An 18034-nucleotide genomic window follows, 5' to 3' on the forward strand; every position below is an offset into this window, starting at 1 on the left:
TGACACTCATCTAATAACAGATACGATGTAAGACACTATTTTGCTGTCAGATAGGCTCTTGCTATCCTGCTTGTCTTGAAGAAGAAACCTGCCATGTTTTGAATGGCCTGTAAAGAGGGAAATGTGGCATGACATTGCAGGCTTTGGTTAGGACTGAGGTTGGTCTCTAAGCAAGAGCTTAAAAAACACTCTTAGTCCTATAGACAAGAGGAAATGAATTATGCAAAAAAAAAAAAAAAAAGCGAGTTTGACAGTGGATATTTTCTTGTCCACTTTCAGTTTCCAGTCCAACATGTAAGGAGCTTAGACATGTGTCACTTCCAACCTACCAATCAGAAAAAAGTTGAACAAACTGAAAATCAACCACCTTTCTTAGACCAATCAGTTAACTGAGGTCACAGAGCAAATGGCTGTCCCCACAAAAGGAAGACAGACTAGAAGATACAGAGAATCCACAGCTCACTGGAACAGAACCCCAGGAGCAGAAACCACTGCTAGAGCTGGTACCAGGATAGGAAAATGTAAGTTATGTTTGACAAGTTACTGAATCTTCAGTGTAGACTAGCTTCACAGTTAAAAACTCTACTGGGGCCCAGTATATTAGGGGGCCTTCTTACTCTTTTGAGTTTTTCCTCCAGTGGTCCTAATAGGTTCTCACAGTGAAGAGTGGAGATCAGATAAAAATGCCCTTGTCCTTTCAGCAGGGGGAGGAAAAAAGCCATTTTGAAATGTGCCCAGAGCAACCTGTTCCTTATAACAAGGCCTGCTTAAAGATAAACCTATTTACCAGAGTCTAACTGACAAGGGTTTCACTAGGGCCTAAACAACTTCAAAAGAGGAAAAGTCTCCATTCCAGCCCCCTCTATATCCTTGTAAGTGGAGGACGAGAAATACTCATTTACAGGTCCTCTTGACTTCCTGTTTCCCCTAAGGGGTAAAAAACCTGAAGTACTTGTGAAGTCATAGCTTAGTGAACTGGCAGTCTCATCAAAAGATTGAGACTTAACTACAGGGTCATAGAATGCTTCCCCTCACTGCATACATTACCACTACATCACCAAGGCTCCTATATAAGAACCAAGGATTATAACTGAAAGAACTGCACATCGCTAAGACTTATTTAAGAAGAACAGGGGAGACAAAAACAAGGGCATCCAAGGAAATGATGGAATCTAACACCTACAGCTATAGCAAGCAGTAAACACAGACTCATTCCTGGCCAGAAAAATATGAAAACTCACACTAAAGGCCTACTGACCTTTGCTCCTTTCACCCAGTATATTATGTTTGGTTTTTGACAAAAAAATTACAAGTAAAAGACAAAATACACAGTTTGAAGAGATAGATCAATCATCAGAACCAGACTTAGATATGGCAGACATTTTGGAATTATCAGACCAGGAATTTAAAATAATTATGATTAATATGCTAAGGACTATAATGGAAAAAGTGCACAACATGCAAGAATGGTGGGTAAACAGAAAAATGAGACAGAAGAGAGTTGAGTTAAAGACATAAACTTTTAAAATAAAAAAGCCTAGAATTTTATATTCAGTAAAAATAATCTTCAAAATGAAGGGGGAGAAAAAACTCTCTCAAATAAAAATCAAAACCTGAGGGACATTATCACCAGTAGACATGCCTTGCAAGAAAGGTTAAAAGAAGTTTGTCAGAGAGAAGGAAAATTATATATATCAGAAACTCAGATCTACATGCAGGCAGGAAGAGTGTTACAAAATAAATGATGGTAAAAGAAAGCATTTTCTTATTCTTGGTTGATCAAAGTGACAACAGTTTGTTCAAAATAATAATAGCAATAATGTATTCAATGATTATACCTTATGAACAAGTAAAATAAATGACAGCAGTGTTATAAGAGATAGGAAGTAGGTATTGGGAATATTCTTCTATAAGGTACTTGTGCTACTTGTGAAGTGGTGGGGTATGTTTTGAATGTGGACTTGGATTAGTTGTGATCATATTTCAAACTCTACGGCAACTACTGAAAGAACTAAAAACACAGAAGTATAATTGATGTGCTAAAGAGTAGAGAAAATGGAATTGCACAAAATACTCAAAACCAGAGAATGCAGCAAAAGAGTGGAAGATGAAAAATAACATAAAATAAAATAAAAATAAAAATAAAAATAAAAGAGCAGTGGTTCTCCCAGCACGGTGTTTGAGCTCTGAGAACGGACAGACTGCCTCCTCAAGTGGGTCTCTGACCCCCACGTAGCCTAACTGGGAGACACCTCCCAGTAGGGGCCGACTGACACTTCATACAGCCGGGTGCCCCTCTGACACAAAGCTTCCAGAGGAAGGATCAGGAAACAATATTTGCTGTTCTGCAATGTTTGCTGTTCCGAAGCCTCCGCTGGTGATACCCAGGCAAACAGGGTCTGGAGTGGACCTCCAGCAAACTCCAACAGACCTGCAGCTGAGGGACCTGACTGTTAGAAGGAAAACTAACAAACAGAAAGGAATAGCATCAACATCAACAAAAAGGACATCCATACCAAAACCCCACCTGTAGGTCACCATCATCAAAGACCAAAGGTAGATAAAACCACAAAGGGAGAAACCAGAGCAGAAAAGCTGAAAATTCTAAAAACCAGAGCATCTCTTCTCCTCCAAAGGATCACAGCTCCTCGCCAGCAACAGAACAAAGCTGGACAGAGAATTACTTTGATGAGTTGACAGAAGTAGGCTTCAGAAGGTCGGTAATAAGTAACTTCTCCAAGCTAAAGGAGGATGTTCTAACCCAGCATAAGAAAGCTAAAAACCTTGAAAAAAGATTAGACAAATGCCTAACTAGAATAAACAGTGTAGACAAGACCTTAAATGACCCGATGGAGCTGAAAACCATGGCACAAGAACTACATGACATGCATAAGCTTCAGTAGCCTATTCGATCAAGTGAAAGAAAGGGTATCAGTGATTGAAGATCAAATTAATGAAATGAAGCGAGAAGAGAAGTTTAGAGAAAAAAGGAGTAAAAAGAAAGGAAGAAAGTCTCCAAGAAATATGGGACTATGTGAAAAGACCAAATCTACCTTTGATTGTTGTACCTGAAACTGACAGGGAGAAGGGAACCAAGCTGGAAAGCACTCTGCAGGATATTCTCCAGGAGAACTTCCCCAACCTAGCAAGGCAGGCCAACATTCAAATTCAGGAAATACAAAGAACGTCACAAAGATACTCCTCAAGAAGAGCAACCACAAGACACATAATTGTCAGATTCACCAAGGTTGAAATGAAGGAAAAATGTTATGGGTAGCCAGAGAGAAAGGTCCAGTTACCCACAAAGGGAAGCCCACCAGACTAACAGCGGATCTCTCGGCAGAAACCCTACAAGCCAGGAGAGAGTGGGGGCCAATATTCAACATTCTTAAAGAAAAGAAGTTTCAACCCAGAATTTTATATCCGGCCAACCTAAGCTTCAAAAGTGAAGGAGAAATAAAATCCTTTACAGACAAGCAAATGCTGAGAGATTTTGTCACCACCAAGCCTGCCTTATGAGAGCTCCTGAAGGAAGCACTAAACATGGAAAGGAATAACCGGTACCACCCACTGCAAAAACATGCCAAATTGTTTTTTGTTTTTTTTTTTATTTTATTATTATACTTTTAAGTTTTAGGGTACATGTGCACAATGTGCAGGTTTGTTACATATGTATACCTGTGCCATGCTGGTGTGCTGCACCCATTAACTCGTCATTTAGCATTAGGTATATCTCCTAATGCTATCCCTCCACCCTCCCCCCACCCCACAACAGTCCCCAGAGTGTGATGTTCCCCTTCCTGTGTCCATGTGTTCTCATTGTTCAATTCCCACCTATGAGTGAGAACATGCGGTGTTTGGTTTTTTTTCCTTGCGATAGTTTACTGAGAATGATGATTTCCAATTTCATCCATGTCCCTACAAAGGACATGAACTCATCATTTTTTGTGGCTGCATAGTATTCCATGGTGTATATGTGCCACATTTTCTTAATCCAGTCTATCATTGTTGGACATTTGGGTTGGTTCCAAGTCTTTGCTATTGTGAATAGTGCCGCAATAAACATACGTGTGCATGTGTCTTTATAGTAGCATGATTTATAGTCCTTTGGGTATATACCCAGTAATGGGATGGCTGGGTCAAATGGTATTTCTAGTTCTAGATCCCTGAGGAATTGCCACACTGACTTCCACAATGGTTGAACTAGTTTACACCCCCACCAACAGTGTAAAAGTGTTCCTATTTCTCCACATCCTCTCCAGCACCTGTTGTTTCCTGACTTTTTAATGATCGCCATTCTAACTGGTGTGAGATGGTATCTCATTGTGGTTTTGATTTGCATTTCTCTGATGGCCAGTGATGGTGAGCATTTTTTCCTGTGTTTTTTGGCTGCATAAATGTCTTCTTTTGAGAAGTGTCTGTTCATATCCTTTGCCCACTTTTTGGTGGGGTTGTTTGTTTTTTTCTTGTAAATTTGTTTGAGTTCATTGTAGATTCTGGATATTAGCCCTTTGTCAGATGAGTAGGTTGCAAAAATTTTCTCCCATTCTGTAGGTTGCCTGTTCCCTCTGATGGTAGTTTCTTTTGCTGTGCAGAAGCTCTTTAGTTTAATTAGATCCCATTTGTCAATTTTGGCTGTTGTTGCCATTGCTTTTGGTGTTTTAGTCATGAAGTCCTTGCCCATGCCTATGTCCTGAATGGTAATGCCTAGGTTTTCTTCTAGGGTTTTTATGGTTTTAGGTCTAACGTTTAAGTCTTTAATCCATCTTGAATTAATTTTTGTATAAGGTGTAAGGAAGGGAGCCAGTTTCAGCTTTCTACATATCGCTAGCCAGTTTTCCCAACACCATTTATTAAATAGGGAATCCTTTCTCCATTGCTTTTCTCAGGTTTGTCAAAGATCAGATAGTTGTAGATATGCGGCGTTATTTCTGAGGGCTCTGTTCTGTTCCATTGATCTATATCTCTGTTTTGGTACCAGTACCATGCTGTTTTGGTTACTGTAGCCTTGTAGTATAGTTTGAAGTCAGGTAGCATGAATCCTCCGGCTTTGTTCTTTTGGCTTAGAATTGACTTGGCGATGCGGGCTCTTTTTTGGTTCCATATGAACTTTAAAGTAGCTTTTTCCAATTCTGTGAAGAAAGTCATTGGTAGCTTGATGGGGATGGCATTGAATCTATAAATTACCTTGGGCAGTATGGCCATTTTCACGATATTGATTCTTCCTACCCATGAGCATGGAATGTTCTTCCATTTGTTTGTATCTTCTTTTACTTCGTTGAGCAGTGGTTTGTAGTTCTCCTTGAAGAGGTCCTTCACGTCCCTTGTAAGTTGGATTCCTAGGTATTTCATTCTCTTTGAAGCAATTGTGAATGGGAGTTCACTCATGATTTGGCTCTCTGTCTGTTATTGGTGTATAGGAATTGTTGTGATTTTTGCACATTGATTTTGTATCCTGAGACTTTGCTGAAGTTGCTTATCAGCTTAAGGATATTTTGGGCTGAGACAATGTGGTTTTCTAAACATGCAATCATGTCATCTGCAAACAGGGACAATTTGGCTTCCTATTTCCCCAGCTGAATACCCTTTATTTCTTTCTCTTGCCTGATTGCCCTGGCCAGAACTTCCAACACTATGTTGAATAGGAGTGGTGAGAGAGGGCATCCCTGTCTTGTGCCAGCTTTCAAAGGGAATGTTTCCAGTTTTTGCCCATTCAGTATGATATTGGCTGTGGGTTTGTCATAGATAGCTCTTATTATTTTGAGATATTTCCCATCAATACCTAATTTATTGAGAGTTTTCAGCATGAAGCGTTGTTGAATTTTGTCAAAGGCCTTTTCTGCATCTATAGAGATAATCATGTGGTTTTTGTCTTTGGTTCTGTTTATATGCTGGATTACACTTATTGATTTGCATATATTGAACCAGCCTTGCATCCCAGGGATGAAGCCCACTTGATCATGGTGGATAAGCTTTTTTATGTGCTGCTGGATTCAGTTTGCCAGTATTTTATTGAGGATTTTTGCATCAATGTTCATCAAGGCTATTGGTCTAAAATTCTCTTTTTTTGTTGTGTCTCTGCCAGGCTTTGGTATCAGGATGATGCTGGCCTCATAAAATGAGTTAGGGAGGATTCCCTCTTTTTCTGTTGATTGGAATAATTTCAGAAGGAATGGTACCAGTTCTTCCTTGTACCTCTGGTAGAATTCGGCTGTGAATCCATCTGGTCCTGGACTCTTTTTGGTTGGTAAGCTATTGATTATTGCCACAATTTCAGAGCCTGTTATTGGTCTATTCAGAGATTCAACTTCTTCCTGGTTTAGTCTTGGGAGGGTGTATGTGTCGAGGAATTTATCCATTTCTTCTAGATTTTCTAATTTATTTGCATAGAGGTGTTTGTAGTATTCTCTGATGGTAGTTTGTGTTTCTGTGGGATTGGTGGTGATATCCCCTTTATCATTTTTTATTGCGTCTATTTGATTCTTCTCTCTTTTCTTCTTTATTAGTCTTGCTAGTGGTCTATCAATTTTGTTGATCCTTTCAAAAAACCAGCTCCTGGATTCATTAATTTTTTGAAGGGTTTTTTGTGTCTCTATTTCCTTCAGTTCTGCTCTGATTTTAGTTATTTCTTGCCTTCTGCTAGCTTTTGAATGTGTTTGCTCTTGCTTTTCTAGTTCTTTTAATTGTGATGTTAGGGTGTCAATTTTGGATCCTTCCTGCTTTCTCTTGTGGGCATTTAGTGCTATAAATTTCCCTCTACACACTGCTTTAAATTTGTCCCAGAGATTCTGGTATGTTGTGTCTTTGTTCTCGTTGGTTTCAAAGAACATCTTTATTTCTGGCTTCATCTCATTATGTACCCAGTAGTCATTCAGGAGCAGGTTGTTCAGTTTCCATGTAGTTGAGCGGTTTTGAGTGAGTTTCTTAATCCTGAGTTCTAGTTTGATTGCACTGTGGTCTGAGAGACAGTTTGTTATAATTTCTTTTCTTTTACATTTGCTGAGGAGAGCTTTACTTCCAACTATGTGGTCAATTTTGGAATAGGTGTGGTGTGGTGCTGAAAAAAATGTATATTCTGTTGATTTGGGGTGGAGAGTTCTGTAGATGTCTATTAGGTCCGCTTGGTGCAGAGCTGAGTTCAATTCCTGGGTATCCTTGTTGACTTTCTGTCTCGTTGATCTGTCTAATGTTGACAGTGGGGTGTTAAAGTCTCCCATTATTATTGTGTGGGAGTCTAAGTCTCTTTGTAGGTCACTCAGGACTTACTTTATGAATCTGGGTGCTCCTGTATTGGGTGCATATATATTTAGGATAGTTAGCTCTTCTTGTTGAATTGATCCCTTTACCATTATGTAATGGCTTTCTTTGTCTCTTTTGATCATTGTTGGTTTAAAGTCTGTTTTATCAGAGACTAGGATTGCAACCCCTGCCTTTTTTTGTTTTCCGTTTGCTTGGTAGATCTTCCTCCATCCTTTTATTTTGAGCCTATGTGTGTCTGTGCACGTGAGATGGGTTTCCTGAATACAGCACACTGATGGGTCTTGACTCTTTATCCAATTTGCCAGTCTGTGTCTTTTAATTGGGGCATTTAGTCCATTTACATTTAAAGTTAATATTGTTATGTGTGAATTTGATCCTGTCATTATGATGTTAGCTGGTGATTTTGCTCGTTAGTTGATGCAGTTTCTTCCTAGCCTTGATGGTCTTTACAATTTGGCATGATTTTGCAGTGGCTGGTACTGGTTGTTCCTTTCCATGTTTAGTGCTTCCTTCAGGAGCTCTTTTAGGGCAGGCCTGGTGGTGACAAAATCTCTCAGCATTTGCTTGTCTGTAAAGGATTTTATTTCTCCTTCACTTATGAAGCTTAGTTTGGCTGGATATGAAATTCTGGGTTGAAAATTCTTTTCTTTAAGAATGTTGAATATTGGCCCCCGCTCTCTTCTGGCTTGTAGAGTTTCTGCCGAGAGATCAGCTGTTAGTCTGATGGGCTTCCCTTTGTGGGTAACCCGACCTTTCTCTCTGGCTGCCCTTAACATTTTTTCCTTCATTTCAACTTTGGTGAATCTGACAATTATGTGTTTTGGAGTTGCTCTTCTCGAGGAGTACCTTTGTGGCGTTCTCTGTATTTCCTGAATCTGAATGTTGGCCTGCCTTGCTAGATTGGGGAAGTTCTCCTGGATAATATCCTACAGAGTGTTTTCCAACTTGGTTCCATTCTCCCCGTCACTTTCAGGTACACCAATCAGACGTAGATTTGGTCTTTTCACATAGTCCCATATTTCTTGGAGGCTTTGTTCGTTTCTTTTTATTCTTTTTTCTCTAAACTTCCCTTCTTGCTTCATTTCATTAATTTGATCTTCCATCACTGATACCCTTTCTTCCAGTTGATCACATCGGCTCCTGAGGCTTCTGCATTCTTCATGTAGTTCTCGAGCCTTGGCTTTCAGTTCCATCAGCTCCTTTAAGCACTTCTCTGTATTGGTTATTCTAGTTATACATTCGCCTAAATTTTTTTCCAAGTTTTTAACTTCTTTGCCTTTGGTTTGAATTTCCTCCTGTAGCTCAGAGTAGTTTGATCATCTGAAGCCTTCTTCTCTCAACTCGTCAAAGTCATTCTCCGTCCAGCTTTGTTCTGTTGCTGGTGAGGAACTGCATTCCTTTGGAGGAGGAGAGGTGCTCTGCTTTTTAGAGTTTCCAGTTTTTCTGCTCTGTTTTTTCCCTATCTTTGTGGTTTTATCTACTTTTGGTCTTTGATGATGGTGATGTACAGATGGGTTTTTGGTGTGGATGTCCTTTCTGTTTGTTAGTTTTCCTTCTAACAGACAGGACCCTCAGCTGCGGGTCTGTTGGAGTTTGCTAGAGGTCCACTCCGGACCCTGTTTGCCTGGGTATCAGCAGTGGTGGCTGCAGAACAGCAGATTTTCTTGAACCGCGAATGCTGCTGTCTGATTGTTCCTCTGGAATTTTTGTCTCAGAGGAGTACCCGGCCGTGTGAGGTGTCAGTCTGCCCGTACTGGGGGGTGCCTCCCAGTTACGCTGCTCGGTGGTCAGGGGTCAGGGACCCACTTGAGGAGGCAGTCTGCCCGTTCTCAGATTTCCAGCTGCGTGCTGGGAGAACCACTGCTCTCTTCAAAGCTGTCAGACAGGGACATTTAAGTCTGCAGAGGTTACTGTGGTCTTTTTGTTTGTCTGTGCCCTGCCCCCAGAGGTGGAGCCTATAGAGGCAGGCAGGCCTCCTTGAGCTGTGGTGGGCTCCACCCAGTTCGAGCTTCCCAGCTTCTTTGTTTACAAAACATGCCAAATTGTAAAGACCACGGATGCTAGGAAGAAACTGCATCAACTAACAGCCAAAATAACCAGCTAATATCATTATGACAGGATGAAATTCACACATAACAATATTAACCTTAAATGTAAATGGACTAAATGCCCCAATTAAAAGAACCAGACTGGCAAATTGGACAGAGTCAAGACCTACCAGTGTGCTGTATTCAGGAGACCCATCTCATTTGCAGCGACACACATAGGCTCAAAATAAAGGGTTGAAGGAAGATCTACCAAGCAAATGGAAAGCAAAAAAAAAAAAAAAAAAAAAGCAGGGGTTGCAATCCTGGTCTCTGATAAAACAGACTTTAAACCAACAAAGACCAAAAGAGACAAAGAAGATCATTACATAATGGTAAAGGAATCAATTCAACAAGAAGAGCTAACTATCCTAAATATATATGCACCCAATACAGGAGCACCCAGATTCATAAATCAAGTCCTTAGAGACATACAAAGAGATTTAGACTCCCACACAATAATAATGGGAGACTTTAACACCCCACTGTCAATATTAGACAGATCAATGTGACAGAAGGTTAACAAGGATATCCAGGACTTGAACTCAGCTCTGCACCAAGCAGACCTAATAGACATCTACAGAACTCTCCACCCCAAATCAACAGAATACACATTCTTCTCAGCACCACATCACACTTCTTCCAAAATTAACCACATAGTTGGAAGTAAAGCACTCCTCAGCAAATGTAAAAGAACAGAAATCACAACAAACTGTCTCTCAGACCACAATGCAATCAAATTAGAACTCAGGACTAAGAAACTCACTGAAAACCACACAACTACATGGAAACTGAACAGCTTACTCCTGAATGACTACTGGGTAAATAACGAAATGAAGGCAGAAATAAAGATGTTCTCTGAAACCAATGAGAACAAAGACACAACATACCAGAATCTCTAGGACAAATTTAAAGCAGTGTGTAGAGGGAAATTTATAGCACTAAATGCCCACAAGAGAAAGCAGGAAAGATCTAAAATCGACACCCTAACATCACAATTAAAAGAACTAGAGAAGCAAGAGCAAACAAATTCAAAAGCTAGCAGAAGGTAAGGAATAACTAAGATCAGAGCAGAACTGAAGGAGATAGAGACACAAAAATCCCTTCAAGAAATCAATGAATCCAGGATCTGGTTTTGTGAAAAGGTCAACAAAATTGATAGACTGCTAGCAAGACTAATAAAGAAGAAAAGAGAGAAGAATCAAATTGATGCAATAACAAATGATAAAGGGGATATCACCACCGATCCCACAGAAACACAAACTACCATCAGAGAATACTACAAACACCTCTATGCAAATAAACTAGAAAATCTAGAAGAAATGGATACATTCCTGGACACATACACCTTCCCAAAACTAAACCAGGAAGAACTTGAATCCCTGAATAGACCAATAACAAGCTTTGAAATTGAGACAGTAATTCATAGCCTACCAACCAAAACAAGTCCAGGACCAGACAGATTCTCAGCTGAATTCTACCAGAGGTACAAGGAGGAGATGGTACCATTTGTTCTGCAACTATTCCAATCAATAGAAAAAGAGGGAATCCTCCCTAGCTCATTTTATGAGGCCAGCATCATCCTGATACCAAAGCCTGGCAGAGACACAACAAAAAAAGAGAATTTTAGCCCAATATTCCTGATGAAAATCGATGCAAAAATCCTCAATAAAATACTGGCAAACCGAATCCAGCAGCACATCAAAAAGCTCATCCACTAAGAACAAGTTGGCTTCATCCCTGGGATGCAAGGCTGGTTCAACATATGCAAATCAATAAATGTAATCCATCACATAAACAGAACCAAAGACAAAAACCACATGATTATCTCAATAGATGCAGAAAAGGCCTTTGACAAAATTCAACAGCCCTTCATGCTAAAAACTCTCAGTAAACTAGGTATTGATGGAACATATCTCAAAATAATAAGAGCTATTTATGACAAACCCACAGCCAATATCATACTGAATGGGCAAAAACTGGAAACATTCCCTTTGAGAGCTGGCACAAGACAGGGATGCCCTCTCTCACCACTCCTATTCAACATAGTGTTGGAAGTTCTGGCCAGGGCAAACAGGCAAGAGAAAGAAATAAAGGGTATTCAGTTGGGAAAATAGGAAGCCAAATTGTCCCTGTTTGCAGATGACATGATTGCATGTTTAGAAAACCACATTGTCTCAGCCCAAAATATCCTTAAGCTGATAAGCAACTTCAGCAAAGTCTCAGGATACAAAATCAATGTGCAAAAATCACAACAATTCCTGTACACCAATAACAGACAGAGAGCCAAATCATGAGTGAACTCCCATTCACAATTGCTTCAAAGAGAATGAAATACCTAGGAATCCAACTTACAAGGGATGTGAAGGACCTCTTCCAGGACAACTACAAACCACTGCTCAACGAAATAAAAGAGGACACAAACAAATGGAAGAACATTCCATGCTCATGGGTAGGAAGAATCAATACCGTGAAAATGGCCATAGTGCCCAAGGTAATTTATAGATTCAATGCCATCCCCATCAAGCTACCAATGACTTTCTTCACAGAATTGGAAAAAGCTACTTTAAAGTTCATATGGAACCAAAAAAGAGCCCGCATCGCCAAGTCAATTCTAAGCCAAAAGAACAAAGCCGGAGGCATCATGCTACCTGACTTCAAACTATACTACAAGGCTACAGTAACCAAAACAGCATGGTACTGGTACCAAAACAGAGATATAGATCAATGGAACAGAACAGAGCCCTCAGAAATAACGCCGCATATCTACAACTATCTGATCTTTGACAAACCTGAGAAAAGCAATGGAGAAAGGATTCCCTATTTAATAAATGGTGTTGGGAAAACTGGCTAGCGATATGTAGAAAGCTGAAACTGGCTCCCTTCCTTACACCTTACACAAAAATTAATTCAAGATGGATTAAAGACTTAAACGTTAGACCTAAAACCATAAAAACCCTAGAAGAAAACCTAGGCAATACCATTCAGGACATAGGCATGGGCAAGGACTGCATGACTAAAACACCAAAAGCAATGGCAACAAAAACCAAAATAGACAAATGTTATCTAATTAAACTAAAGAGCCTCTGCAGAGCAAAAGAAATTACCATCAGAGGGAACAGGCACCATACAGAATGCGAGAAAAGTTTTGCAATCTACCCATCTGACAAAGGGCTAATATCCAGAATCTACAAAGAACTTAAACAAATTTATAAGAAAAAATCAAACAACTCCATCAAAAAGTGGGCGAAGGATATGAACAGACAATTCTCAAAAGAAGACATTTATGCCGCCAACAGACATATGAAAAAATGCTCATCATCACTGGTCATCAGATAAATGCAAATCAAAACCACAATGAGATACCATCTCACACCAGTTAGAATGGCGATCATTAAAAAGTCAGGAAACAACAGGTGCTGGAGAGGATGTGGAGAAATAGGAACACTTTTACATTGTTAGTGGGAGTGTAAACTAGTTTAACCATTGTGGAAGTCAGTGTGGCGATTCCTCAGGGATCTAGAACTAGAAACACCATTTGACCCAGCCATCCCATTACTGGATATATACCCAAAGGATTATAAATCATGCTGCTATAAAGACACATGCACACGTATGTTTATTGCGGCACTATTCACAATAGCAAAGACTTGGAACCAACTCAAATGTCCTTCAATGATATACTGGATTAAGAAAATGTGGCACATATACACCATGGAATACTATGCAGCCATAAAAAAGGATGAGTTCATGTCCTTTGTAGGGACATGGACGAAGCTGGAAACCATCATTCTGAGCAAACTATCACGAGGACAGAAAACCAAGCACCGCATGTTCTCACTCATAGTTGGGAATTGAACTATGAGAACACTTGGTCACAGGGTGGGCAATATCACACACTGGGGCCTGTTGTGGGGTAAGGGGAGGGGGGAGGGATAGCATTAGGAGAGATATCTAATGTAAATGATGAGTTAATTGATGCAGCAAAGCAACATGGCGCATGTATACATATGTAACAAACCTGCATGTTGTGCACATGTACCCTAGAACTTAAAGTATAACAAAAAATAAATAAAAAATAAAAATAAAAATAAAAAACACACAATGACCACAAAGTTAAAACCGAACAAATTGGTAGATATTAACCCAACTATACCAATAATAACTTTTAAATACAATGATTTAAATACACCAATAAAAAGACAAAACCAGAAATTATCAGAGGAGATTAAAAAAAAAACTTTTATGTTGCCTACAAGAAATCCACCTTAAACATAAAGATTCAGACAGGTTAAAAGTAAAGGAACTGGAAAAAGATATGTGATTACATCACAAATGTAAAGAAAGCTGGAGTAGCCATGTTTATTTCAATCCAAGCAGAATTCAGGTTAAGGAAAATTATGAGGTATAAAGAGGGGCATTTCATAATGATAAAGGGGTCAATTCTCCAAGAATATATACCAGTCCTTATTGTGTATGCACCAAAACTAGGGTGTTAAAATGAGTCACATAAGGCAAATACTGATGAGACACATCCACTCTTAAAGTTGAAGACTTCAACACACCTCTATCAGTAATTGATAGATACAGCAGGAGAAAATCAGTAAGGGTATAGTTAAACTGAACAGCACCATCAATCAACCACATCTAAACGACTTTTATATAATACTTAACCAAATGATAAAATGCACTTTTTCAGGCTCACATACACCAAGATAGAACACATTCTGTCCCATAAAAACACACCATCAAATTTAAAGGGATAGAAAGCATACAAAGTATGCTCTAAATTTACAGTTGAATTTAACTAGAAATTGAAAACAGAATGATAGCTGGAAAATCCCCAAACATACGTAGATTGAACAACATGCTTCTAAATATCACATGGGTCAAAGAAGGCATCTCAAGAGAAATTTTAAAACTACAACTTATCAAAATGTGTGAGGTGCAGCAAAAGTAGAACTCGGAGGGAAATTTATGTCATTGACTGCATATACTAGCAAAAGGGACAACTAATATATTAATCTAACCTTCCACCTTAGAAAAGTACAAAAAGAAGAGTGAATTAAATCCTAATAAAATTAAAAATAAATATTAGAGAAGAAATCAATAAAACTGAACACATCAATAGAGAAAATCAGCAAAACTAAAAGGCAGTCCTTTGATAAGATTAATAAAATTAATAAACCTCCAGTCACATTAACTAAGAAAAGAAGAGAGAAGACACAAATTGCTAATGTCAAAAATGAAAGAAAGGCCATCACTGATTATTCTATTGACATTAAACAGATAGTAAAGGAATGTTATGAAAAATTCTATGCCCACCAACTTGGTAACCTAGATGAGACAGACCAATTCCTTGAAAGACACAATCTACCAAAACTCACACAAGGAGACTGAGATCATCTTAATAGGCCTATATCTATTAAAGAAATTGAATCAATGACTGATAAGCTTCCAAAAGAGTAAACAACAGTCCCAAATGAGCTCACTGGTGAATGCTGTCAAATCTTTAGGAAGGAATGATATCAATTCTCTACAAACAAGCACAAAGATGAAAAGATGCTTTATATCATGGATCATTAGGGAACTGCAAATTAAAACAACAATCAGATATCACTACACATGTATTAGAGTGGATAAAATCCAAAACACTGACAAGACACATACTGGAGAGGATGTAGGGCATAGAATCTCTCATTCAGTAATGATGGCAGTGCAAAGATGGTACAGCCTCGTTGGAAGACAGTTTGTCAATATCTTACAAAATTAAAATACTCTCGTCATATGATTCAGCAGTTACTCTCCTTGGTATTTAGTCAAATGGGTTGAAAACTGATGTCCACACCAAAACTTGAATACAAATGTTCAAAGCAGCTTTATTCCTAATTGTCAAAACTTAGCAGAAACCAACAAGAATTAAGTGTCCCACAAGCATACAATGAAATATTGTTTAGTGATTAAACAATGTGTTATTAAGCTATGAAAAGACATGCAGGAGCCTAAATGCATATTGCTAAGTGAAAGTAGCCTATTTGAAAAGGTTACATGCTGTAGGATTCTAACTATATGACATTCTGGAAAAGGCAAAATTATGGAGACAGTTAAAAAAAGGGGGGTTCTGGGGGGATGGGGGAATAAGGGGAACACAGTGGATTTTTTTTAGTATAGTGAAACTGTTCTGTATGATACTGTTATAGTGTGTACGTGTCATTCATTTTAAAAAACCCATAAGATATATAATAGAAAGATTAAACTCTAATATAAATGGTTAACTTTAATTAATAAAAATGTATCAATATTAGCTCATCAATTTTAACAAGTATACCACATTAATGTGTGATAATAATAGGAGAAACTGTGTGTGAACCGATGAGAGGGTATAAGAGAATTCTTTGTATTTACCACCGAATTTTTCTGTAAACTTGGAAACTGCTCTACAAAATAAAGTATGCCCATTAAAACTCCATCCCTGTGTTATATATTTAGAGTAGTTTGTTTTCCTGGAATAACCCATGAATATTTGCAGTTAGCTAATTATTTGTATTGATTTTCTCATCTGAAGCTCTTTCAGCCATTAACAATTTTAAGCAGCCATTTTAAGAATGGCTGCTTAAAAAAACATCCATTCTGTCATTAGTAATTAAATTTGCTCAAGTGTCTTCTATCATTAAGTAAAATATAACACAACACAACATACCATGGCTCTTTAAACCTCCTTTAAATAATTCTCTGTTTCTGTCCTAAATAAATTTTACACTCCCTAGTTTTTGTATGCATAAACACACACACAAAATATATACATATATTTATATTTAGATATTGAAAATATTATAGAGCATTAAGAGATATATGTTCAGCTTGTAAAAAAATTGAGCTCTACACATAAAGTTCTATTAGCATAATTGTTGAAAAGTAGCCCAAGCAGTACTTATGGGGATATTTATTGCATTAAATAGATTTACTATAAAAAAGTTTGAAACATTGTAACAATTCAAGAAGCTAGAGAATGAATAGCATATTAAACACAAAGAAGAAGGTAGGAATAATGAAGATAAATTCAAAAGTGATAAATGAGAAAATAGTCAAACCAACTAGTAAAAGCCAGTTCTTTGAAAGGATTTATATAACAATGTGTATGAGTACCATCAATTACAAATGAAAAAAGCAGAAATAAATGATATTAGATAAGTAAAATTATACAAAACTTAGGTGTAGAAAAGATGTAATACTAATAGAGAACACCGTAAGTGTTATCAAGTATTATCTGTATCTCAAGATAACAAATGATGGACAAGGAGAAGGTTCTATCTGAAAAATTTCGGGTAATAAACTCAAAAGAATTTTAGAATCAGAGAATTACCATCTTGCAACCCATGATAGATTAATGGATAAAAGTGATGGCTGCCAACATCATCACAAAAGAAACAACAGAAATTATATATCTCTTAATGAAACTGCACCATATCACCTCTGGAGTGCACTTGCCAATAAACTTTAATATGAACAATATTCTACTCATAAAAATTGAAGATTATTAGTGACAAATCTTAGCTAATTGAGTTTATTATTCTATTCTCTGTACTACTGCATATATTTGAGAATTTCCATAACAGGATTTTATTATGAATATCATGCTTTTAAATATGAAAACCTAAGTAAAATGGAACAATTTTTAGCAAAATGAAAATGACTCATAAAAATACAGAACTCTTTGAATGCACAGTAGAAAATGAAACTATAGTCCAAACCCAAAGTACCTTCAAACTGTTTTAGGACCAGCCAGGTTTAGAGACCCATTACATCAAATGGTGAAGAAGAAACTAATCACCACTTCATGTAAACTCTTCCAAACAACACGAAAAGATTGGGAGAATTACTCCATCATTTTAACAAGCTTGCTTTCTTTGACACAAAGACCAGATGAAGATAGTCCAATAAAACAACATTTGAGATCAGTTCATTCACATAGAGACAAAATATTCTCAATAAATTCATAGTATATCCAATATAGGCATATCCAATATAGCAGTGAATTAATGAATAAATAGCCTGCATCCAAGAAATGCAAAGATGATACCATATTAGAAAATACCATCAATTGGAAATCACTATGTTACCAAAAATGGTGAAAAAGCATGTGATCATGTGCAGGGGTAAAGGAGAAGCCTTAAAAAACCCTCAATACCAGTGTATGATAGTAACTTTTAGCAAACTTACATTAGGAGAGAATTTCCATCTTGTAAAATCTATAATTGACATACTAAATGTGAAACATTACAAACATCCCGAATAGAGTCCAGAAGAATATACACCTGTATAGTATAAACCCTACTGCTGACAACTGGATGAAAATACATCTATAGTTCACAACTATAATAATAATACCGAGTAAATTAGAGGTAACAATAACAAAAGGAGATAATTGTGATAATATAATCTCCTAATTTAAAAATAAAACAACGTAATTGGTGCAAAAATATTTAAATGTATAAGGAAATAAAGAAAACGTGTGTACAAAAGATCACCATAGGTAAGTCAGGAGTATAGTCACACAAAATCAATAACTAATTATAATATGTAATGTGAAATATGCCTTTCACAACAGCAACAATATCCAAAATATATCTAACAGAAAACCAAATAGAAATGTACATGTTCATTAAGGAGACAGCTATAAAAATTTACTG

The sequence above is a fragment of the Homo sapiens genome, chromosome X (genome assembly GCF_000001405.40).
Source record: "Homo sapiens chromosome X, GRCh38.p14 Primary Assembly".
NCBI classification, from domain to species: Eukaryota; Metazoa; Chordata; class Mammalia; order Primates; family Hominidae; genus Homo; species Homo sapiens.